The sequence below is a fragment of the Homo sapiens genome, chromosome 5 (assembly GCF_000001405.40).
Source record: "Homo sapiens chromosome 5, GRCh38.p14 Primary Assembly".
NCBI lineage: Eukaryota > Metazoa > Chordata > Mammalia > Primates > Hominidae > Homo > Homo sapiens.
In genome coordinates, this window is record NC_000005.10 from 173,403,350 (window position 1) to 173,429,558 (window position 26,209).

A 26,209-nucleotide genomic window follows, 5' to 3' on the forward strand; every position below is an offset into this window, starting at 1 on the left:
CTAGATCCCTGAGGAATCGCCACACTGACTTCCACAATGGTTGAACTAGTTTACAGTCCCACCAACAGTGTAAAAGTGTTCCTATTTCTCCGCATCCTCTCCAGCACCTGTTGTTTCCTGACTTTTTAATGATTGCCATTCTAACTGGTGTGAGATGATATCTCATAGTGGTTTTGATTTGCATTTCTCTGATGGCCAGTGATGCTGAGCATTTCTTCATGTGTTTTTTGACTGCATAAATGTCTTCTTTTGAGAAGTGTCTGTTCATGTCCTTCGCCCACTTTTTGATGGGGTTGTTTGTTTTTTTCTTGTAAATTTGTTTGAGTTCATTGTAGATTCTGGATATTAGCCCTTTGTCAGATGAGTAGGTTGCGAAAATTTTCTCCCATGTTGTAGGTTGCCTGTTCACTCTGATGGTAGTTTCTTTTGCTGTGCAGAAGCTCTTTAGTTTAATTAGATCCCATTTGTCAATTTTGTCTTTTGTTGCCATTGCTTTTGGTGTTTTGGACATGAAGTCCTTGCCCACGCCTATGTCCTGAATGGTAATGCCTAGGTTTTCTTCTAGGGTTTTTATGGTTTTAGGTTTAACGTTTAAATCTTTAATCCATCTTGAATTGATTTTTGTATAAGGTGTAAGGAAGGGATCCAGTTTCAGCTTTCTACATATGGCTAGCCAGTTTTCCCAGCACCATTTATTAAATAGGGAATCCTTTCCCCATTGCTTGTTTTTCTCAGGTTTGTCAAAGATCAGATAGTTGTAGATATGCGGCATTATTTCTGAGGGCTCTGTTCTGTTCCATTGATCTATATCTCTGTTTTGGTACCAGTACCATGCTGTTTTGGTTACTGTAGCCTTGTAGTATAGTTTGAAGTCAGGTAGTGTGATGCCTCCAGCTTTGTTCTTTTGGCTTAGGATTCCCGTGGCGATGCGGGCTCTTTTTTGGTTCCACATGAACTTTAAAGTAGTTTTTTCCAATTCTGTGAAGAAAGTCATTGGTAGCTTTATGGGGATGGCATTGAATCTGTAAATTACCTTGGGCAGTATGGCCATTTTCACGATATTGATTCTTCCTACCCATGAGCATGGAATGTTCTTCCATTTGTTTGTGTCCTCTTTTATTTCCTTGAGCAGTGGTTTGTAGTTCTCCTTGAAGAGGTCCTTCACATCCCTTGTAAGTTGGATTCCTAGGTATTTTATTCTCTTTGAAGCAATTGTGAATGGGAGTTCACCCATGATTTGGCTCTCTGTTTGTCTGTTGTTGGTATATAAGAATGCTTGTGATTTTTGTACATTGATTTTGTATCCTGAGACTTTGCTGAAGTTGCTTATCAGCTTAAGGAGATTTTGGGCTGAGACAATGGGGTTTTCTAGATAAACAATCATGTCGTCTGCAAACAGGGACAATTTGACTTCCTCTTTTCCTAATTGAATACCCTTTATTTCCTTCTCCTGCCTGATTGCCCTGGCCGGAACTTCCAACACTGTGTTGAATAGGAGCGGTGAGAGAGGGCATCCCTGTCTTGTGCCAGTTTTCAAAGGGAATGCTTCCAGTTTTTGCCCATTCAGTATGATATTGGCTGTGGGTTTGTCATAGATAGCTCTTATTATTTTGAAATACGTCCCATCAATACCTAATTTCTTGAGAGTTTTTAGCATGAAGGGTTGTTGAATTTTGTCAAAGGCTTTTTCTGCATCTATTGAGATAATCATGTGGTTTTTGTCTTTGGCTCTGTTTATATGCTGGATTACATTTATTGATTTGCGTATATTGAACCAGCCTTGCATCCCAGGGATGAAGCCCACTTGATCATGGTGGATAAGCTTTTTGATGTGCTGCTGGATTCGGTTTGCCAGTATTTTATTGAGGATTTTTGCATCAATGTTCATCAAGGATATTGGTCTAAAATTCTCTTTTTTGGTTGTGTCTCTGCCCGGCTTTGGTATCAGAATGATGCTGGCCTCATAAAATGAGTTAGGGAGGATTCCCTCTTTTTCTATTGATTGGAATAGTTTCAGAAGGAATGGTACCAGTTCCTCCTTGTACCTCTGGTAGAATTCGGCTGTGAATCCATCTGGTCCTGGACTCTTTTTGGTTGGTAAACTATTGATTATTGCCACAATTTCAGAGCCTGTTATTGGTCTATTCAGAGATTCAACTTCTTCCTGGTTTAGTCTTGGGAGAGTGTATGTGTCGAGGAATGTATCCATTTCTTCTAGATTTTCTAGTTTATTTGTGTAGAGGTGTTTGTAGTATTCTCTGATGGTAGTTTGTATTTCTGTGGGATCGGTGGTGATATCCCCTTTATCATTTTTTATTGTGTCTATTTGATTCTTCTCTCTTTTTTTCTTTATTAGTCTTGCTAGCGGTCTATCAATTTTGTTGATCCTTTCAAAAAACCAGCTCCTGGATTCATTGAGTTTTTGAAGGGTTTTTTGTGTCTCTATTTCCTTCAGTTCTGCTCTGATTTTAGTTATTTCTTGCCTTCTGCTAGCTTTTGAATGTGTTTGCTCTTGCTTTTCTAGTTCTTTTAATTGTGATGTTAGGGTGTCAATTTTGGATCTTTCCTGCTTTCTCTTGTAGGCATTTAGTGCTATAAATTTCCCTCTACACACTGCTTTGAATGCGTCCCAGAGATTCTGGTATGTGGTGTCTTTGTTCTCGTTGGTTTCAAAGAACATCTTTATTTCTGCCTTCATTTCGTTATGTACCCAGTAGTCATTCAGGAGCAGGTTGTTCAGTTTCCATGTAGTTGAGCGGCTTTGAGTGAGATTCTTAATCCTGAGTTCTAGTTTGATTGCACTGTGGTCTGAGAGATAGTTTGTTATAATTTCTGTTCTTTTACATTTGCTGAGGAGAGCTTTACTTCCAACTATGTGGTCAATTTTGGAATAGGTGTGGTGTGGTGCTGAAAAAAATGTATATTCTGTTGATTTGGGGTGGAGAGTTCTGTAGATGTCTATTAGGTCTGCTTGGTGCAGAGCTGAGTTCAATTCCTGGGTATCCTTGTTGACTTTCTGTCTCGTTGATCTGTCTAATGTTGACAGTGGGGTGTTAAAGTCTCCCATTATTAATGTGTGGGAGTCTAAGTCTCTTTGTAGGTCACTGAGGACTTGCTTTATGAATCTGGGTGCTCCTGTATTGGGTGCATAAATATTTAGGATAGTTAGCTCCTCTTGTTGAATTGATCCCTTTACCATTATGTAATGGCCTTCTTTGTCTCTTTTGATCTTTGTTGGCTTAAAGTCTGTTTTATCAGAGACTAGGATTGCAACCCCTGCCTTTTTTTGTTTTCCATTGGCTTGGTAGATCTTCCTCCATCCTTTTATTTTGAGCCTATGTGTGTCTCTGCACGTGAGATGGGTTTCCTGAATACAGCACACTGATGGGTCTTGACTCTTTATCCAACTTGCCAGTCTGTGTCTTTTAATTGCAGAATTTAGTCCATTTATATTTAAAGTTAATATTGTTATGTGTGAATTTGATCCTGTCATTATGATGTTAGCTGGTGATTTTGCTCATTAGTTGATGCAGTTTCTTCCTAGTCTCGATGGTCTTTACATTTTGGCATGATTTTGCAGCGGCTGGTACCGGTTGTTCCTTTCCATGTTTAGCGCTTCCTTCAGGAGCTCTTTTAGGGCAGGCCTGGTGGTGACAAAATCTCTCAGCATTTGCTTGTCTATAAAGTATTTTATTTCTCCTTCACTTATGAAGCTTAGTTTGGCTGGATATGAAATTCTGGGTTGAAAATTCTTTTCTTTAAGAATGTTGAATATTGGCCCCCACTCTCTTCTGGCTTGTAGGGTTTCTGCCGAGAGATCCGCTGTTAGTCTGATGGGCTTTCCTTTGAGGGTAACCCGACCTTTCTCTCTGGTTGCCCTTAACATTTTTTCCTTCATTTCAACTTTGGTGAATCTGACAATTATGTGTCTTGGAGTTGCTCTTCTCGAGGAGTATCTTTGTGGCGTTCTCTGTATTTCCTGAATCTGAACGTTGGCCTGCCTTGCTAGATTGGGGAAGTTCTCCTGGATAATATCCTGCAGAGTGTTTTCCAACTTGGTTCCATTCTCCACATCACTTTCAGGTACACCAATCAGACGTAGATTTGGTCTTTTCACATAGTCCCATATTTCTTGGAGGCTTTGCTCATTTCTTTTTATTCTTTTTTCTCTAAACTTCCCTTCTCGCTTCATTTCATTCATTTCATCTTCCATTGCTGATACCCTTTCTTCCAGTTGATCGCATCGGCTCCTGAGGCTTCTGCATTCTTCACGTAGTTCTCGAGCCTTGGTTTTCAGCTCCATCAGCTCCTTTAAGCACTTCTCTGTATTGGTTATTCTAGTTATACATTCTTCTAAATTTTTTTCAAAGTTTTCAACTTCTTTGCCTTTGGTTTGAATGTCCTCCCGTAGCTCAGAGTAATTTGATCGTCTGAAGCCTTCTTCTCTCAGCTCGTCAAAATCATTCTCCATCCAGCTTTGTTCTGTTGCTGGTGAGGAACTGCGTTCCTTTGGAGGAGGAGAGGCGCTCTGCGTTTTAGAGTTTCCAGTTTTTCTGTTCTGTTTTTTCCCCATCTTTGTGGTTTTATCTACTTTTGGTCTTTGATGATGGTGATGTACAGATGGGTTTTCGGTGTAGATGTCCTTTCTGGTTGTTAGTTTTCCTTCTAACAGACAGGACCCTCAGCTGCAGGTCTGTTGGAATACCCTGCCGTGTGAGGTGTCAGTGTGCCCCTGCTGGGGGGTGCCTCCCAGTTAGGCTGCTCGGGGGTCAGGGGTCAGGGACCCACTTGAGGAGGCAGTCTGCCCGTTCTCAGATCTCCAGCTGCGTGCTGGGAGAACCACTGCTCTCTTCAAAGCTGTCAGACAGGGACACTTAAGTCTGCAGAGGTTACTGCTGTCTTTTTGTTTGTCTGTGCCCTGCCCCCAGAGGTGGAGCCTACAGAGGCAGGCAGGCCTCCTTGAGCTGTGGTGGGCTCCACCCAGTTCGAGCTTCCCGGCTGCTTTGTTTACCTAAGCAAGCCTGGGCAATGGCGGGCGCCCCTCCCCCAGCCTCGTTGCCGCCTTGCAGTTTGATCTCAGACTGCTGTGCTAGCAATCAGCGAGACTCCGTGGGCGTAGGACCCTCTGAGCCAGGTGTGGGATATAGTCTCGTGGTGCGCCGTTTCTTAAGCCGGTCTGAAAAGCGCAATATTCAGGTGGGAGTGACCCGATTTTCCAGGTGCGTCCGTCACCCCTTTCTTTGACTCGGAAAGGGAACTCCCTGACCCCTTGCGCTTCCCAGGTGAGGCAATGCCTCGCCCTGCTTCGGCTCGCGCACGGTGCGCACACACACTGGCCTGCGCCCACTGTCTGGCACTCCCTAGTGAGATGAACCCGGTACCTCAGATGGAAATGCAGAAATCACCCGTCTTCTGCGTCGCTCACGCTGGGAGCTGTAGACCGGAGCTGTTCCTATTCGGCCATCTTGGCTCCTCCTCCCCTTGGATGCATTTCTGCACCGGGCATTTTTTATTAACAAATAAAACATTTTAATTACAAGAGGAAAACATAAAAATTGCCTGTAATCAGATATTTAAAAATTAAAAGCAGATATATATCTATATTTATTTATAAAAGTGGTTTTATATTATACATGCCATTTGTAATTAGCTTTTTCCCCTTAACAATATATCATGAAAATTTCCATGTTGTTTCATTTTTTTTGTCTATCAACATTTTAATAGCTGCATAGTTATTCCCTGTGCGTAGTGCCATAATATATTAAGTCAGTCCTTCATTGTTTAGACAGTGAGGCTATTTCCAACTTTTTGCTTGTATAAACAATGCTTCACTGAACACCTAAATGCATGTATCTTTAGCCATGATGATTTTCATTAGGGATAAATGCTTAAAAATGGAATTGCTATGACAAAGTTTATGCATATTTTAGAAGTTATTAGTAGATTTTGCAATATTGCCTTCCCAAAAGGCTTTACCAATTTACCCTCCTAGAACAGTGTATGAGGTTGTTTTCCTGTCTGGCCTCCTATCAACAAGTGCTTAAAAAATTTTAAGCATATTTGCTGGTTTGATAGGCAAAAATGTTATTTGACTTTTAGTTGGGTTTCCTGAATTATTAGTGTGAATGAATGTTTTCATGTTTATTGTCTATTTGTGTGTCTTCTTTCATGAATTGCTTATTTACATCTTTTGCTCATTTTTCTATTGGAGTGTGGTTTTTCCCTAAGTGTTTTTTATATGTTAAGGATAATAAATATCTACTATCTTTTATATTATAAACAACTTCTTCTCCTAATATAGTTTAAGGTAATTTCCTTTTTTATATTCAGAAGTTTTTTAATTTTATGCAGTCAAATCCATCATCATTCCTTTGTGGTTTCTGCCTTTGACATATGCCTAGCCGTGTATGTATGTTGCATTTTAGCCTTTTATTTTAAACATTATAAATGCAATGCACAGATCCTCCTTATGAAGGAGCCAAACGGGAGATACAAGTGTAACATAGAAAGCAGAAGTCCTCTCCCCTGCCCCTACCTCTGCATTCCCATGCCCCAGAAGTCCCTACCGTTAACATTTTGATTGCCCTTAGTCTTTAAAACAGATGTATTTGGTCTTTGGCCAATGGAACAATCTTTTTCACTGGCTCATGCTTTGAAGGTGTGGACTGCTGATGGTTGTGGCTTTTCACCCGACCTCTTTTCTATCAGCTCCTTATTGTCCACACTGCATTCTTTCTTCAGGCCCTGGGATTGGCGTGGTCCGCATATGTTTGGAGCTAGGGTGAGAGACTCTCTGCAGATAGGCTTTCTGGTTCCTGCTCTGGGACTCTGAGTGTCGCTTGTGTAGCAGCTGGGAGAATGAGATCAGGAAGGCAAGTCCAGCCGGCTCAGCCCCTCTCTTCTTGGGGCACGAAGTCTGGTTGCCTTTATTTTTGTGTGAATCAAACTTTCTAAAAGATGATACCCATGTGGACACTCCATGCCCAACCAAGTCAGGCTGTCGAGAGCCACACCTGACCTTGATTGTTGGTGACCCCAGCCCCTCTAAGATGCCTAAGGCCACTCAGGCAGTGGGGCCAGGACCCAAGGCCCTGTCCTTTCAGCTGATAGTTTCAGGATGTATTATTATAATGGATCAATCCTTGAAATGCTTTCATCAACACCACAGGAACTAAATGCTCTGAAATTTTCTGATTCATCTTTATGGAAGGTTAAAATAAAAATAACATTTTTTCCCACCACATTGAACAGAAGCCAGTCTCCAACCTTCACACGGTGTTCCTTAGAACAGGATTACACACTCCACTCGAGGGAAGTCAAATGCTCCTCTTCCCTCTGCGCCTGCCTGATTTGCTTTCCAAATCAAGAAGTTGGATAGAGTGAAAGGCTGGTTTCATTTGCAGAACATTTTGGCATCTGATTTTTGTTCCTGTTCAGTAGTTTTAGAAAATATACGGGTTCAGCTCAGGTTCAAGCTGGTCTACTATTTTTTTTTTTTTTTTCTGGAAAAAAACACTTTGGTTTGTTCCACTGTGTTTGGTAACAAAATTAATGTTTGGGCCCAGCTCAGGGTTCAGTGAACGGGTGCGGGTTGTTTTGGTCATGGATGGACAGTGAGAGCTCTTGATTGGGACTGGATTTCTTCTGCTGCAGGGGTGAATTGCTCGTCTGTTAGCCAGCCGCCCTCCAGCTCCAGAGTGTGGCCTCAGAACTCCCTGGATGACGCCTCACCTCCTGGCCAGATGGTGAATGGGGCTCTGTGTGGAGGGGATGCAGTCTGGGCAGAGCAGGCAAAGCTGGGAGGCAAGTGGCATGTTCCTTGGGATGCTTCCCCCACCAACTCACAGACCTGGGCTGCTGGGAGAGGCAGCCCCAAATGCTATTTGACCCTTCCTTTTGCTGGAACTGCATCTTCTGGAGATCTGTTCACCACAGACAAATCCATTGGCAGGTGTCCGGAAGGAAGCAATATAGAACAAGCAGCCCTGTGCCAGGGCCGTGTCTGTGAAGCAGAGCGGTATGATGCAGAAGTTTGTCATCTTCAAGAATCCCTGTCCTGGCGCACCTAGCCTGGTGACCTCTGCCAAGTGACTTGTTTCCTTCAAGCTTCCATGTCTTCACCTCTACGGTGGAGAGACTGAGCTAATAACTGTCTTCCACCTGCAAGATGGAGGTGAGGACCACATAGGAGCTGGCACGTAATGGATTTAGCATAGTGCCTGGATTATGGTGAAGTGCAACAAGCTTAGCCACTCTTGAGTTTTGAGGGACACACCACACATGCATGAACATATGAAGGTGGTATAAGAACCAATAAGTGCACAGGTGAATAAATGCTGCAGGAGTTCAAAGCAGGGAGAGAGGGCTTCCCTAGGGTTCCAGGGAGGGCAGGCATTCTGGTGATTTGAACTGGGCCTCAAAAGAGGATTCCATTGAAAGGAAGGTGAAGACAAACCTAGCATGTTCTTCTCAAAGCTTGGGAAGAGATCTATGCATCATATACCCACTGCCTTTGTTTTAGATGTTGAAGGCCTTGAGCAAAGTCATATGTCAAATTAGTAGCAGAGCTGGGGCTAGAGGCAGTGACTTCTCTTGTACTTTTTCCATCACACCTTGCTGGCCATTGGAATTTCTCTTAGTCACTATGCGTTTGTTTGCAAGTGACAGGAAAAAAACTCAGTTCACACCGGCTTAAGCAGAAAAGCAAAGAAAAACAACAGCAGCAGCATCCCAACAATAACAGAGAAGAGAACGTACTGACTTCTCCCTTGGACAGACTCTCCCACGGGGGCTCCTGGCATCTCCAAGCTTACCTGCTTCCAGCCTCACATCCAGGAGAAGGAAAGCATCTCGCTCCCTTCAAACAATCCCATGTCAAACAATCAAGTCTCACCAGCCTGGTTGTGCTCACGGGCCTCCCAAACCAATCACTGTGGCGAGAGTTTTATTTATTTATTTTGTTGTACTCTGATTGGCCAGACTTCGACCACCCGCTCACCCTTGGAGTCTTCAGAATGACACGGTCTGGGGTGTTCTTACTGGTAGAAGAGGGAGTGGCTTCTGGGCAGACAAAAACAGCAGTGCCCATTCAGTGTGGTCACAAGGTTTACACACTTCTTGTGGAGAAGGAGCAGGAGAGGGACCACCACCAAGAGGTGAGAGGCTCCTTTTCCCTCTGAGTTCTGAGTCAATGCTTAGCTAGTGGTAGCAGAATAACTATACAGTTTGCCCGTGCCCCCGGGAACAGAAGAAGCCGGGCGCCCATTGTGTGGTCCTGGCACATGCACTATGGGGCCGATCCAAGATGGGTCTGGAGAGCTGCCTATTAGAGCTCTGGGTCAGTGAACCACGGGAGTTGAGTTGGTGACTGTTGGAGATTCCAGAGGCAGTGTGGTGAGACAAAGGCAAGCTTGATGAGGGGAGGAGTCCACGAGCATGGTGTAGGCAGGCCTAGGGGCCAGGTTCAGAGCCGGGATGAGGAATTGCATGCCTGAATGACCCATGGCATGTGGCTGTTTTTCCCCTGGGCAGGGAGCCAGCTTGGCCCCGGTGGCCACTCTGGGTGGTGGTGGATATCCCGGAGACAGCTCATTCCCCGCTTTGGGGCTGCCGGGAGAGGAGGGAAGAAGAGCCCGCGTGGTTGTATGTTGTCTTCGGAGTGAGATGGAAAGCACGGGTTGGGAAAGGTGACCTGCAGGCACACCAGCCCCGGGCTGTGGGGGGGATGCTCAGAGCCCACCTGGCTTCGCCTGTTTGCAGCTCCTTTCTTAAGACATGTTCTGCAGAGAGATGAGGATTTGCACGCGGCTGATGTGTGGAGGAAGTGCTTCCAGGGAAACAGCGAGGAATGGGAAGCAGCACAGGGCAGGGGAAGAAGCCAAGGGACGCCTCAGCCGGAGGCCCATGAGGGTCGCTTCAGTCTGATCCTGCAGGGGACTCTGGAGTGTTAGCTACTACTCAGGGCTGGTAGAGAGCTGGGCTTTCATACCCCGGGATCGTCAGGCATTGGCTGAGGGCCACCCCAGAGGACTGTCAACTCCCAAACGCTTCTCTCAGGTTCAGACTTTTGGAACAAAACACATGGAAGGTGGGGGATGGGTACCGGCAACAGCAAATACACTTTCCTGGGTGAGGGGATGGTGGGGGGGTTGGTGTGGAGGGGACATTGGATGAAGCAGGGACACTCTCTGCTCCAGGAGTTTTTTTTCTGGTCACAAAACTTCACCACATGCGTTCTGGCTGAGAGCCCATGGGCAGACTTCTTCCCCATGTGGATGAGTCTAGAGAACACCCAGGTCTGTATCTCCAGGGCCCCTGTATTAACTGCATCTAAGAAAACTGACCTAAGCACAATGAGCTCATCACACTGAGCAGGACAAGGGCAGGCTGGCTTCAGGCATGGCTGCACTCAGGTGTCCAGATGGTGTAGCAGGGGCTCTGTTTCCTGCCTCTGCTTCCCTCTCTGTTGGCTCTGTCCTCAGGCTGGTGTTCACCTCATGGTGGGGGGATGGCCGCCAACAGTGGAAAAAGAGAGTAGAGGTGACCCTTGAACAACATGGGTTTGAACAGTGCGGGTCCACTTACATGTGGATTTAAAAAACTAAAAGTTCCACCGAGCGTGCCTGCCTCTTCTGCCTCTCCTTCCACCTCCTCCACCTCTTTTGCCTGTGTCACCTGGGAGACAGCAGGACGAACCCCTCCCTCTTCTTCAGCCTACTTGATGTGAAGGTGATGAAGACCTTTGTGATGATCCACTTCCACTTAAAAAACAGTAAATATATTTTCTCTTCCTTGTGATTTTCTTAATGACATTTTCTTTTCTCTAGCTTACTTTATTGTAAGAATACGGTGTAGGCCGAGCACAGTGGCTCACGCCTGTAGTCCCAGCATTTTGGGAGGCCAAGGCGGGCAGATCACCTGAGGTCAGGAGTTCAAGACCAGCCTGGCTAACATGGTGAAACCCCATCTCTACCAAAAGTACAAAAATTAGCCAGGTGTGGTGGCGCCTGCTGGTAATCCCAGATACTCGGGAGGCTGAGGCAGGAGAATCACTTGAATCCGGGAGGCGGAGGTTGCAGTGAGCTGAGATGGCACCACTGCACTCCAGCCTGGGAGACAAGAGTGAGACTCTGTCTCAAAAAACAAAAAACAGAAAACGGTGTATAATACATAGAACATAAAAAATATGTGCTAATTCAACTATTTATGTTAATGGTAAGGCTTCCAGTTAACAGTAGGCTATTGGTAGTTAAGTTTCTGGTAAGCCAAAAGTTACGTGTACATTTTCCACTGCATGGGCTGTCAGAGCCCCAACCCCTGCGTTGTTCAAGGGTCAACTGTGCTTTGCTTTTAGGTCTTCAGCAAGGGCCATGGAAGGCACTCTGACTGGGTCACATGCACATCCCTGAACTAATCTCTGATGCTCTGAGTGACCAGGCCTGGTCACCTTATCTGTGCACTGTGTGTGTGTGTGTGTGTGTGTGTGCGCGTGTGTGTGTGTGCATGCGTGCATGTGTGGCACTTTCCCAAGGAACATCAGGGCTGTGTGACTAGAGGAGGAGACTAGATTAAGGTTGGGTCCCAGATGGTTATACCACAAGGGTCTCATGTCCTCCCTTAATGCTCACGGTGCCGTGTCCCTGACCTCAGAGGCTGACCTCAGATCTCAGGGGCCAGAGTCTCCTCTGCATGCACGCAGTGGATGTTGCTGTGCGCATTCATTCACTGTGCTTTTCCATAGAGGATTTCAATAAAAATTAACAAAATCACATGTAGGTTCATTATAAACACTCAAACAGCATATAAAATATATAAATTCGTAAATATATAAGATATAAATATAACATTTCTAATATACTATATGAAGCATATTTATCTTATATTTATATAACTATATATTTATAAGTATTTATTTATATTTATGTATAAATGTCTACATTTATATAATTATAATTCATATTATATTTATTTATATTTACTACATAAATGTATATATTACACATAAATATTGATCCATGTTCACTATATATGCATAATATAAAATAGAAGTGCAAAGCACTCATAATCCCAACCCCATAGAAAATTGGCTGTTTGTATTTTTGAGACTATAGCTCTCTACATACCCCTTCCACCATCTCAGTTACCCAAATTTCCGCCTCTTTCTTTAATAGCCAAATAAAATCACTGCACCCCTGCCTTTTGTGGCTGCAGGAAAGCCCACCTCCCCTGACTGTGACTTAGCACTTCCTCCTCCCACCTCCATGTGTCCATTCCAACACTTCCTCCCTGGTGCCTGTGACATAAGGGGCATGTGTAGGCGCTTCAAGTGCGTTGTTGACCAACATAGGCTGAGATGTGTGCTGGTACAGAGCTTACATTTTGTGGGGATTGGACAGTTAACAATGAGCAAATAAATGACCTGTCTATTACCAGATGCAGGGTGTAGGGACTGAGATAGGCGATGGGGCAGCAGGTGGGAGCAGTATCTAGGGGTTGAGGGTGGGTCTCTCATGGAAGGTGAGATTGGAGCAGAGACTTGAAGCGGGGAGGTGGCTGCCTAGGGGAAAAGTGTCCCAGGCAGAGGGAACAGCCAGCGTGAAGTCTCTTGTGTTGGGAACGTGCATGGAAGTGTGTGTGTGGAAGGAAGGGAGGCAGGGCCACATGGTGGGGAATCTTGGAAGCTGGGAGGGCATGGCTTTAACGAGACAAAAATGGGGAGCCACAGGCAGGCTGTGCGTGAGGAGAGATGACTCTGGGTTCCCACATGAGGCTGCTCTTGGCTTTCTCCTGCTCCCCAGCCCCCAACGTTATCTTCAGCCTGGGCAGGGCTCCCTCCATTCCCCATGGTGGGCCACAGCTGAGGCAGACAAGGTGATGTAAGGACTCAGGGACCTTTATCACCATGTAAGCAAAGTATGGGCCTGCAGGTATGGGTGTGTAAATACGTAGATGTGTACACAGAAGAATAAGGAAGGACTGAGGAAATCCAGAGCTGGGCTGCAGCAGGAATTGGGCATGTGATATGGTTTGACTGTGTCCCCACCCAAATGTCATCTTGAATTGTAGCTCCCATAATCCCCACATGTCATGGGAGGGACCTGGTGGGAGGTAATTGAATCATGGGGGTGGGTCTTCCCTGTGCTGTTCTGGTGATACTGAATAAGTCTCATGAGAGCTCAGGGTTTTGTAAAGGGCGTTTCCCCTGTAAACACTCTCTTGCCTGCTGCCATGTAAGATGTGCCTTGGCTCCTCTTTTGCCTTCTGCCACAATTGTGAGGCCTTCCCAGTGATGTGGAACTGTGAGTCCATTAAACCTCTTTTTCTTTATAAATTACCCAGTCTTGGGTATGTCTTTGTTAGCAGCATGAGAATGGACTAATACAGCATGTAAGGGGAAACCTCCAAGACTGGCTTCTGTACTATTGCTTGTATCTTGTAGAAGGTTGTATTTTTGTTCTAACTGTGTAATGCTCAGGCCCTGGTTGTGGGGCTGTGGGCAGGGGCATGTAATAGGAGCCTCCCCCAAAGGGTGCTCTTGTGGCTGCTGCTGCTGGACATATTTTGGCTCCTCCACTCCTAGCTGAGTTCCTCCTGCCTTCTTCCCTCCATCTTAGGGTCCTCAAAATGTCTGTGGAGTTTCCAGGCCAATGGACACTGCTGGCCACAAAGCTTTCCTCCTCCAGGAAGAGGCTCTGTACTTGATTTTGCAGCTTGACCAAACTTGTTCTCTCCAGGCTTCCACCACACCTGCTACCACCACCACCTGACTTCTCTCTGTCCCTCTCTCTTCTTTACCAATTCCACTTTTGACCCTCTCTGTCTCTTTCTCTCTCTTTGAGTTCCAACTTCAGCTTCTTGCACCAGCTGCTGACCCTCTCTGTAAGTTTTCTTGTTCACATTCACTAAGACCAAGGATCAAAATAGTATGGTACAGTTAGCCAACCCTTGTTTCTAACCCAGGCCACGTGGTAGATCAATAAATTAGCTGAAGGGGGAAGAAAGGTGCCAATGTGCTATTTCAGCTTGTGGGATGGCGTGTGTGACATCCAGTTGTCGTTCCACACTCTAGGTGTCCAATGACCTGCTTACATGTTTGGGAAGACAGATATAAGTCCCGTTTCCTGGGGGAAGTGCTTTGATTTTTACCTGTAGCTACTGTCCAAAGAGTCTGTTGCTTTTTGTGATTTCTTATGCTGTACTTCAGGTTTCCATCTGTTAGTCATTCAACAAATATTTATGGAGCATCCAGGCCTTGTGTTAGATGTTGGAGATGTAGAGACAATCATAACCATAGTGCTGGCCACTGGGAGAAACATACTCATAAGCTGTGGAAAGTTTCCAGGAGAAAGTTGTTGTCATCCTCATCATCAACATCATCAGGGTTGTCATCATCATCATCTTCATTGTCATCTTCATCATTGTCATCACATCATAATGAACTTTATTCTGTTTTCAGAATTCCATATGCATAATTCACTTAATCCTTGCAACAACTCTATGAAGTCGATACTATTATTACCCCTATTTTATAGATGAGGAAACTAAGCACAAAGAGATTTAATAACATGCTCAAGTCAGACTGCTAAAAAAATGCTAGAGCCGAGATTTGAATGTCAGTGGTTTGATTCCAGAGTCAGAGAAGTAGCTATGGCCATCAGTGCTTTACTGCATCATTTAGTGTCCTGATGAACCTTGGTTTTATGAGACATTAATAGACATTCCAGAAGGAAAGGTGGGGTAGTTAAGCAGTTGAGAAAATGCTGGGCCAAATGAGGGAAACAAGTAGCTTTCTTTATTGCAGGCCTTCTCAGAAGCTTTAATTTGTTAAGTTATTAATTTCTAAAGGCAACGGTTTCTAAACTTAGCTGAACAGGCTTTCAGGGTTGGACACACCTATCAACATTGCATGGAGCTGGTATGTCACGGAATCCAATATAAGGAAGGCTGTTTTGTGGCTTGTTTTTCCTTGCCATTCCTACTTGTTTTTTTACTTCACCTTTCTATGACAACTGCATGGGCATCCTAATACCACTCACTCTACTCATGTGACCCACCCAGTGTAGGTGGGTGGATTTCATGTTGAGGATGTTCTGACACTCCATCCTCAATGGCGTTCGTTGTGTCAGTAATGAGGCTGGTGTGGAGTAGAGCAGACACTGAGCTGGGCTGGTGGGGTGGCATATAAGGGCAGGAGGGCACCAGGAGGCCAGCTAATAAAGACCACGTATGGTCTGCTGAAATACCACGTGACAAAGCAGGGCCGGTGTCTGGAGTCTCAAACAAGGTGTGGGGTCCAAGCTGAGGTTGATCTTCAGAATCCAGGCTGGGGCCAAGGGAGCAACTGACTGTCCGTCATGTCTGCAGGGCTGGCCCAGGCAGTGGGTTTGTCCATCCACATTAATTCTGGCCATAGCAGCTTTGCTGTTGATCTTGACTTTGGTAACTTCCCTAGTGGGCCTCGCAAGGCCCAGAAGATTTTTGCTGGTCCCTGCATGAAGCAGGAATGAAGCAAGACTCACATTTTTTATTTTGAGTTGTATTTATAGAAATCCTTCTGGAATGATCTACATGCCTGGTTTCTTATGACCTTCAGAATATGGGAGGCAGTTCATGGGGCAGGAGTTTAAGCCAATGTGTGTTCCTGACCTGGTGAGAACTAAACTTAAATCAGACTAGTGGTCCAACTTCTCAGAATCCCAACTCAGAAAAAAAAAAAAGTAAGATAATGAGTTTTAAAGGGAAGGGATGTGAAAATGGAAACTCTTTAAAAATAGGGCAGTGGCAGGATTGTGTGGGGGTGTGGATTTGTAGTTGCTGGAAGACTCTATGGGAGGTTATCAAATGCACTCATCCTCATGGCCTAGATGGCTGGTGGCCTTCCGAAGTCCATTCTTCCTTTTCAAATAACACTGCTGCCTCGCTGAAAAGACTTCATGTCCCAGCCTCCCTTGCAGCTAGGTGAGGTGATCTGACTAGATTCTGTCTGATGACGTGTAAGGAGTATTGTGTGGTAATTCCAAGAAATGTCCTTGAATGAGAAGGAATAACCTTTACCTACTCTTTCTTCATCTGGGTGCTTGGAATGCAGACATGATGCCTGGACTTCAACAGCTGTTTTAGACCATGAGGTGACCTGCCAATAATGGTAAATTTTGAAGACAGAAGGTGACACTGTGGGGCCAGCATACCAGCCCAGGGCTTTCTACCTCTGAACTTCTTTTATGTAAAGGAGAAATAAATTTCTGTCTTATTTAAGCTACCGTTATTTGCAGGGGGGCTGGCAGGAGGGAATTTTGTTATATCAGTGAAACTGACACAGCCATAATTTCTAACCAAGATGGCTTGAAAAACAAAATTCTGGAGACCTGAGGTCAGAGTGGAAACCCTGAAGTGGAAACCCCAAAGGCCTCGGGGTGGTGACAAGCTCTCCTGATGGGCCCAGGCTGCAGCTGCTTACTGCCTTTTTATCCTTCTATTTGGCTAAATCAGAGAAAGAGATGGACATAGGGTGGTGGGGAGAGGAAGCTATGACTGGTCCTAGTGAGGCTGGGCTGCCAAATGTCTTAGTCTGAAAAGGGAACAGGTTTCATATGGACAAGATGGAAGAACTGCTTGTTCCCTCTGGAAAGTTCTATTAAAATGACCAACCCAGACACACTTTAATATTAATGGGAAATTCCTCTCGTTGTTTATGAAATCATTTTAGAGTTGATTTTAAAAAGAGAGGAGAGAGGGGGGAAAAAGCTGTTTGTTAGCTCAACGAAGCCCCAGACAATTATTTATAGATGCATCTGAGTGGCTTGTTTTAACACGGAGCAACTGTCTGAAAAGACTCCACTTTGACACCAGTAAGCACCCCTGGCACCAAGAATAAATTTATGAATGTCTTTTATGAGAGTCAACAAACTAGACAAATAAGCCCACAGACCGTCTTCACTTCGAGAACCAGAACAAAGAGTCGTATTCGTCATTGGCTCTGGGCAGGAACCACGCCAAGCTGAGCAGCCCTCGCTCAGGCCGGATGTTCCCCTCCAGCTAATGTGATTTCTTTGGGCACTGCCACGGTGGCAGGCAGATGCCTGGTTTATTTCCATTCCTCCGCTTCTCTGATTTGTTTGGGTGGCTAAATATCTCTTTCCCAGGAGAACATCTGCTCTTTTAAAAATGGAAAAAAGCAGGAAGACCTCCAAGCTGTTGGGCAGGAACTCACCCTCGAGTGAGACCGACCAGAATCTCATAAAACGTTTCTTCTGGGGTCCCCGCCACATCTCAAGAGAGGGCCCAAGCAGCTCCTTTAGGGGTCCTGGAACCCTACCCGCTTGCATGTCCTTCAAGGCAGTTTGAATTCTGTGCTATGACGCCTGAGGCTTAATAACTGCTTTGGCCAAGTTTAGGTCATTTTTCTTGATGTCTCATTTATAGATGTCTTCTTACCATCACTAACACCCATGGTTTGGTTGGAAATGAATCCACAGCAATGCAGAGGTGCAACAAAAATATGGTGGAAAAACTTCTAACTTGGTAGTTAAAGGGAACTTAAATACTTCTGAATGAAAAGACTCTTTGGGGAGAAATAATCTTTTTTTTTTTTTTTTTTTCTGTAGAGATGGGAATCTCACTATGTTGCCTAGGCTGATCTTGAGCTCCTAGCCTTAAGTGATTCTGCAGCTTGGTCTCCCAAAGTGCTGGGATTACAGGCATGAGCCACTGCACCCAGGTGGGGGGCTGGGGGCTGGGATCATCTTTTAGAGCTTCTTCCCTCCCGCTTCTCCTTCCATTTTCCCCAGGAGATCTCAAGGGGCCAGTGGGTGCTCAATAGCGCTGTGACTGTGTGGGGAGCTTCTGCAGCCCTCCTTTGTACCCTGCTGTGGCGCAGCTGATGGGACCCAGTCCCTGACATCCTGCACGTGTCCTGAATGGAGGTTTTCACTTTTCCTGGTCTCTTTGGGGCCACAGAAGCACCCACTACTGACATCAGTATTTCTCCATTTCCTTGGTGGTGAGGTCCTTGTGTTTGGACGCAGGCTGGTCCCACTGTGTGGGCCTCTCTGGGTCTGCTGGTACTGGCAGATCCTGTCTCCCAACCAGTACTCAAGGGAGCCTCTGGGTCTCCTGACCACTGCCCACTAGGAGCACTGTCTCAGCCTGGCCTCTTGGCCTAACCACGACACGTGGCTATTTCTATTTTGCTTGGCCATATGATGTTGTAGCAGGGACATTCTGCGAGATGGTTTCTGTATTAGTTTGGTAGGGCTGCTGTAACAAAATGCTACAGAGTGGGTGGCTTAAGCAATGGTAATTTATCTGGAGGCTGGAAGTCCGAGATCAAGGGGCTGTCAGGGTTGGCTTCTCCTGAGGCCTCTCTCCTTAGCTTGCAGGCTGCCACTTTCTTGCTGCCTCTTCACACGGTTGTCTCTCTGCATGTGTGTCCCTGGTGTCTCTTCCTCGTCTTATAAGGGCCCTGGTCCTACTGGGTTAGGGCTCCACCATTAAGGCCTCATTTAACCTAATCATGTCTTTAAAGACCTTATCTCTAAGGATGGTTCCATTCTGATATCCAGGGGTTGGCCCTGAATGTATGAATTTTGGGGGAACACAAATCAGTTTGTAACAATTTCCTTTCCCTTGATTTATCTGGGGGTTCTTCTTGCTTGCTGGAGCTCTCCCTCACCCATCTAGCCAAGGTTCAGGAAGGGGTATGGTTGCTGGGTCTGCAGAGATCAGGCTGAGGGTGAGACCATCACCCCACCTCCTCCACCCCTCTCAATCTCTCTGCTTCCTCCGAGCCACTCTCCAGGCCAAAGGGGCTCTTCTTTCTTTCTGTGGGGGAGAGAGCTCCCCTCTTGTCAAATCCTGCCTTTTCTCCAACTAGTGCATTCAGACTAGCACGCAGTGTTCTTTGCAAGGGAAGCACTTTGGAGTCTAAAAATCCCTTTTCTTAATGAAGCCTGACTTTCAAAACTATTTTTTTTTGCTGTTGCCATCACAAATCTTATTTGAAATTCAAAGCTCAGCCATTGCTTGGCCCTCTGAGGCAATGAATGGTTGGGGAGCTGTAGGGTGACTTGATTTACAGGAAAGAAAAAATCATTTGATAGGATATTTTCAGAATTATTATTATTTCTGCATCATGGGTCATGTGATTGATGAATATACACAGCAGAAATAATTCTGAAAATATTTTTTATCTAGTTTAGACCTTTTAGTTTCTTTTCTTTTCATTATAAAATGCAATACGTGTTCATCTGAAGAAATTTGGAAAACAAATTCAGAGGGAAAAAAATTATGCTTAGACTTAACATCCAAAGACAGGTACTGTTATCATTTAGCCTGTTTCCCTCCTATCTTTCGTTTATGAATTTTTGGGGTTACTTTTAATTTAATTTACATATATTTAAAAACTGGTTATATATATGTTTATATATATGTTTATTTATATATACATATATATATTTTATATATATGTTTATATTTTTATATTACATATATATATTATATATATATATTTTTTGAGACAGAGTTTCACTCTTGTCGCCCAGGCTGGAGTGCAATGGCGCAATCTCCACTCACCACAACCTCCGCCTCCCGGGTTCAAGTGATTCTCCTGCCTCGGCCTCCTGAGTAGCTGGGATTACAGGCACGTGCCACCACATCCGGCTAATTTTGTATTTTCAGTAGAGATGGGGTTTCTCCATGTTGGTCAGGCTGGTCTCGAACTGCCGACCTCAGGTGATCCACCCGCCTCGGCCTCCCAAAGCGCTGGGATTACAGGCATGAGCCACTGCGCCCTGCCAAAACTGGTAATATTTTTAAATGATTAAAAATAAAAACAGCATACAGAGAGACATACAGTGAGCAATCTCACAACCATTCCGATCTCTGTCCACTCTGTTCTTCCCACACCCTGTAAGGAATCACTTGTACTAGTTTTTTTGTGCATCTGTCTCTCCAGAGTTTCTTTACCCAAATACAAATGGAATAGACACTCTTACTTTTACCCTTTCTTATGCAAATGGTATTAGAAGTATGGAGCGTTCTGCACCTGGAGAACTTTCCAACAGGACCTCTTTCATGGCTTCTTGCGGCCTGGATGCTAAGTTCTCTAGCTCCCTAGCTGTGATACTTTGGGCAACATCTTTGCCTATCTAGGTCAAACTTCAGCTAATGCTTCTTTTTTCTTCACTTGGTAACAAACTGCCACACCCCAGCGCCAATCACGAGTGTGGAGACGTGATTCAAGTTGGTACTGCCAAATAACTGCCCTGGTGACAGTTATCTGTCCCGGGAAGGTCTGTGAAGCAGGTTCACTGTGCACTGCTTACCAATCTGTCTGAGTCCAGAGAGACAGAACATACTCATATGCAACAAATTATGTGAAGTGGATCCACTATTTATAGGTAGGCAGCAAGGGACACAGAAGCCTAGGATTCATTGTGAGTTGGTCTCCCAATGCTAAGAAAGCTCCCTGGGGTGGATGGAGTCTGAACGGTGCATATCTGAATTGCACTGTAGAATAGGGACCCTGTAAGGACACCTACCCGGGTTACATACCACAGGGTTACATGACTCACTGGGCTAAAGTGTTGGGGGACATTCTGTTTCTAGGGGAGGCTGGACCAGAGCCCAAGATGTTCAGCCAGTCCCTCCGTATCTCAGGGTGTTACATTCTCAGTACATTCTATAGTTATTCATGAGATCTACCAGCAAGAGTGAGCAGAACTCTTGAGTGGGTTGGTCCAAGGCCACTCAGAACACTGTCCTGCAGTCATATGGTTCCAGATGGCCAGGACATTCCTCCTGGTGCTGGTGGGAATGCCTGCCTCTTGCCTCTGAGCTTGCTGTGTTGGCATGAAGTGAACTTGGGGCTTCTCATGGTCATCTTTCCCACCACATGGAGAGGGCCCATCACTAGTAGGAAACATGTAGCTAACATTCAGAGAGAAGCAGAGAAGAGAGATGCAAAACCCCAGCAACTCACTGGTGTCCTAGATTCAGTCCTGTCTAGTGAACCACCCTTTATCTAAATTATGGGAGTTTGGGCTGCATTTCTGCCACAGCTGGGAGAGACCTAGTTTGTATCAAGTTCTGGGAAGCCCAAGCCCCATGAGAAAGGAGGGGAACTCACTGAGAGGTGGGAGTTAAGAGCGCAGGCTCTGGAACCAGACTGGCTGGATCCACGTGCTGGCTCCACCACTTAGCATGTGGTCTCGGACACACCATGCAACAGTTCCGTGTCCATTTTTGCACCTGTGGGGTAACGTGACATGATTGAATGAGTTGGCATGTCAAATGTGTAGCCAATATAAGGGTCACGGTGAACTGCTTATAAATGCTATTACGTTGTTCATCTGTTCACGTTTCACAGATGTCACTGCCACTCTCCCCAGCTCCATCTTCATCCCGCCGAGTCCCATCTTCCTTCTCACCAGCCTGGTATTTTTGAACGTACATTTGAATTGCAACAGTCGGCATCAAGATGGTGGGAAATAGCAGTTGAGATTTCTCAACTAGAAGATTGAAAAGTCTAAGGCTGGACAAACAATCAAACAATGAGAGGTAGTAAAGTAGAGCAAAATTTTAAGGATGAACTGAGAATGTACAGCCCTAGCATGCAAGAGGCCATCTTTCCTTCTTCAAGAGTTCTTTCTCATCAGCAAGAACCTCTCATCAAGATGGCCTCCCCAATAACTGAAGAGTTATTGTGGTTGTTTTTAAATCCCTCCATTAGTTTGCTAGGGCTGCCATAACATATTGAGTGACTTGAGCAACAGAGATGTATTTCCTCACAGTTCTGGAGGCTGGAAGTTGGAGATGAAGGTGCTGCCAGGTTTGTTCCTCCTGAGGTCTCTGTGCTTGGCTTGTAGATGGCCATCTTCTTCCTGTGCCTTTACATGGATCTCTCTCTGTGTGTGTCTATGTTCTAATCTCCTTTTCTTGTAAGGACACCAGTCATTTTAATTAGGCAAATGAGGTAATGAGGTAATCATCTGTATTACCTCATTTTACCTTAATCACCTCTTTACAAGACTTATCTCCAAATATAGTCACATTCTGAGGTCCTGGGGGTTAGGCCTTCAACATAAGGAATTTAGGGGGACACAGTTCAGCCCATAGCACTCATGAAAGGGGCTTTTCAGTGCTGCTCCAGACTTCTCAGCCTTCCCCTCTCCTGCTTGGTAACCCCTCTCCTTGTTCCTGAATCCCAGATCGACACCACACTGCATGGTGTTTTGGTAGAAGCAGCTACAGGGTTTTCATCAGAGTCCTAGGACTCTGGACAACATGAACAGTATGAAAAGTCCTTCTGAATACGGTGGGTGTGGAGATGAAGAGGTGTGGGTGGGGTTATTTTGGGACTGTTTGTCTTTTGTCTGCACATATTAAAGGCTGGCCTAGTTTAAAATGTGGCCTTTCTTATTTTTTTTTTAAATTGGAGTTTTGAAGTAAGTGAATGATGACAGTGTGTGCATAGGAGTCTGTCTTGGGATAAAAGAAGTCAGTGGACAGTCACAGAACTGGGTATGGATGGTCTCAGAATGCTGAATAAAAGGCATAGCAAGATTCTTGGCCTTCTATTTCCTAATGCTCTCAGAATATTTTTAGTTGATCTGTCATCTTTAGCTTAGGGCCATAGGATAGACTTTATGTCATTTAGTTTCATCACCAGGAGAACAAAAATCGTCGATTGTGATAGCAACACATTGAGAATATCTGATGAGTAGCATCTGTCTGTCCTGGTTGCTGGGATTGCAGTCTGTACATGAGTATGTAGGGCTGGCACCATGGGTCTTTGCGTGCTAATTTTCCCTGACATCGTCCTGCTGCACAGCCTTCCTTTCCCATATCTATGATTTTATTCTCTTTTTATTATATTGTGCATACTTTTATAAGCTTTCTTCATATCCTTTCATCCATCTATTTATCCACACAGATGTATATGAATTATTTGGAGTATATTTTCGTGATTGTTGGAAGCAGTGAAGCTTCAACCTTTTAATGTGGGGTTGGACCCCATTAATATGCCATCCAGGTTCAACCATGTTGTTGTGGTGTCCTGCTATCTCCCACCCCATGTGTGATGTCGATCTGGGACTCAAGAACAAGGAGGGGGTTACCAAGCAGGAGAGAAGGCTGAGAAGTCTGGGGCAGCACTGAAAAGCCCCTTTCATGGAGTGCTATGGGTTGATTCATGTCCCCCTAAATTCCTTATGTTGAAAGACTAACCCTCAAGACCTCAGAATGTGGCTGTATTTGGAGATAAGATTTTTAAATGGCAGTCTCTCCTTTTTTAAAGGCTGAATAATATTCCACTTATGTATACCAAAGTACCTTTATCCATTTGTCGGTGGATGGATACTTAGGAGGACATTATGCTGACACAGAAAGAAAAGTACTATATAATATCATTTACTTGCAAATCTTTTTTTTTTTTTTTTTTTGAGATAGTTCTGGCTCTGTTGCCCAGGCTGGAGTGCAGTGGTATGATCTCAGGCCACTGCAACTTCCACCTCCTGGGCTCAAGTGATCCTCCTGCCTCAGCTTCCTGTGTAGGTGGGACTACAGGCATGCGCCACCACACCCGGCTAATTTTTGTATTTTTTGTAGAGATGGGGTTTTGTCATGTTGCCTAGGTTGGTCTCAAACTCCTGAGCTTAAGTGATCCTACTGCCTCAGCCTCTCAAAGTGCTGGGATTACAGGTGTGAGCCACCACTCCTGACAAAAGTCAAATAAGTACAAAGAGAAAGTAGAATGGAGGATAATAGCGGGAGGAAAAGGAGAGAAGTAGGTTAAAGGGTACAAATTTGCAATGAGGTAGGACACCTTAGTCTAGAAATCTAATGTATAGCATGAAGCCTATAGTTAATAATACTGTTTTATAGACTGAAAATTTGCCAAGAGAGTAGAATTAATAGATGTTCTTACTGCATGTGCGCGCACACACACACACGTGGTAACTATGGAACGTGATAAGTATGTAGATTTCACTATTGCTATCACTTCTCTATCTACCCCCCCACATATATATAAACACTATTTTGTACACCTTAAATATATACAATAAAAATAAAGATGTGCCATTCAATTGTGTTTTGCTAACATCTTTCAGATTACAATTAAAAATAAAAAACACAGTGCCTTTTTAAAAGGACAGGTGTGTTTTCTTTGGGTTTGAAAACATACTATGTGTAGATAAGGACACATTCACACCTTTGAGTATAGGTATATATGTAATTGCACAAACATAAATATAGTGCACAGTTTTTATTCAGAATTCTGTCATTTGACATGATTAGGACATATAGGATATTCTTATTAGTTTAATATTCTGGTTAATAATGAATTGCTTTTTATGTCATATAAAAACTATCAATTGAAACAAGAATGCAATAAGGCATCTAAGTCTAAAATTAGACTGCTCATAGTGGGATCTTTCTTTTAAATTCAAGAAGTACTTCAGTCCTGGGAATGATGGTATATAACTATGTCAATAGACAAGAGATAAATGAGTTAATCTTGAGCTTTAAGTTAGGGGAATATATACCAGAAATTGCAAATGTGTGTGGTTTGGAGGATGCATTTTATAGGGATGGCATGATGTTTGAAATTTTTTTAAATTAGGTGCCAATTTTTAAAAATTGAGATAATTCACATAAAAATCTAGATTTCAGGTTTCTCTTCAGAAATCACTGGGCCAGGACTCCAGAGGCCCTGAAGGTCTCTCTGACCTGCCTGGTCCCCATTGGCATTTGAAATCACAGTAAAGCATGCTGTATTAGTCTGTTCTCACATTGCTATAAAGAACTACCTGACACTGGGTAATTTATAAAGAAAAGAAGTTTAATGGACTCACAGTTCCACAGGCTGTACAGGAAGAATGGCTGGGGAGGCCTCAGGAAACTTACAGTCATGGCAGAAGGGGAAGAGGAAGGAGGTACGGCTTACACGGCCGGAGCGGGAGGAAGAGAGAGAGGTGTGAGGTGCCACACGCTTTTAAACCACTGGATCTCTTGAGAACTCATTCACTATCATGAGAACAGCAAAAGGGAAATCCACTCCAAAGATCCAATCACCTCTCACCAGGTCCCTCTTCCAACATTGGGGATTACAATTTGACATGAGATTTGGGCAAGGGCACAAATCCAAACCGTATCACATGCCTTACCAGTTTATTGCAAATTCCTAATCAGCAATGATTAAATTATCATACGAATTCACATTTTACATCTATTTGTACTTTTTATTTTTCAAAACAGTTTCAAACCCATTAGCTCCTTGTTGCAGCCCTGTGGGGTAGGCAGAGCAGTGGTACTACATTCATTTCCCAGAAGGAAAAATTAGGGTTCCTGGACAGGCAATGGCACCCTCTACGTTTAAGGGTCTCTAACTCTTTTCAGGAAGCAGTTTGGAGCTTTGTCACCCATGAATCTATAAAGCCTCTTTTGAGATTATACAGATTTTTTTCCAAAATAAAAATATAATTACTGTTTTTTTCTGGTTATATAAACAATGCATTCTCAAAGTAAAAAGTTTAATGAGTACAGAAATGTATAAAAAGAAAGTAAAAACTACCCAAAGTATCTCCACACAAGTATAATTACTGTTAATTTTGGTGAACTCACTTCAAAACTTCCCTCTAAGCACATGTGAAGATGTTCAGTTATGTAAGTGTGCCTAAATATTAATGATGCAGTTTTGTAATCTGCTTTAAAAAAAAACTCAGGAATACATCACAGAGAGCTTTTCATATCAGTACACAGAGATGTATCTAATCATTTTAAAAGTGACATTGCATTTCATTTTAGGTACACACTGAGATATCTTTAACCAGTCCTCCATGGCTAGCCATTTAGGGTGCTTCGTTTTTTTCCATTATAAACAAGGCTGTAATGAACATCCTTGAATATGTATCTTTGTCCACTTGCTCAATTAACTCATAATGGTAAACTACTCGTTTGAAGCTGTGTTCCTGTGCACATTTAACCAACAACAACTTTGGAGATAATATCTTTCAACAGATCACGTGAGCTCTTGGATTTGGGGGACAAGTTCTTATTGATGATGTCCTAGTGTCTCCAACTACAAACTGTGTGACTATAGGTATTAAAAAAAGAATTCCAACAAATCTTTATTGGCCATCTTTTATGTGCACCAAACAATACTATCCTGGAGATATAAAGGCAAATGAAACACAATTCTAGCCCTTCTTGA

The 26,209-nt window shown here is 44.1% G+C and overlaps 1 long non-coding RNA gene across 2 annotated transcripts in view, besides 1 other annotated feature; it reads left to right on the forward strand.

The window, feature by feature from the left end:
* LOC105377732 (uncharacterized) overlaps positions 1 to 26,209 on the forward strand; it is a 139,446-nt gene that overhangs the window by 18,362 nt on the left and 94,875 nt on the right. The window lies entirely within an intron of this gene.
* Positions 9,267 to 9,768: an enhancer, noted in NCBI's record as "H3K4me1 hESC enhancer chr5:172839619-172840120 (GRCh37/hg19 assembly coordinates)". NCBI's record gives its function as "activates a minimal SCP1, AML or CMV promoter by ChIP-STARR-seq in naive H9 embryonic stem cells {active_cell/tissue: H9 hESC(naive)}" and the evidence as "EXISTENCE:reporter gene assay evidence [ECO:0000049][PMID:30033119]".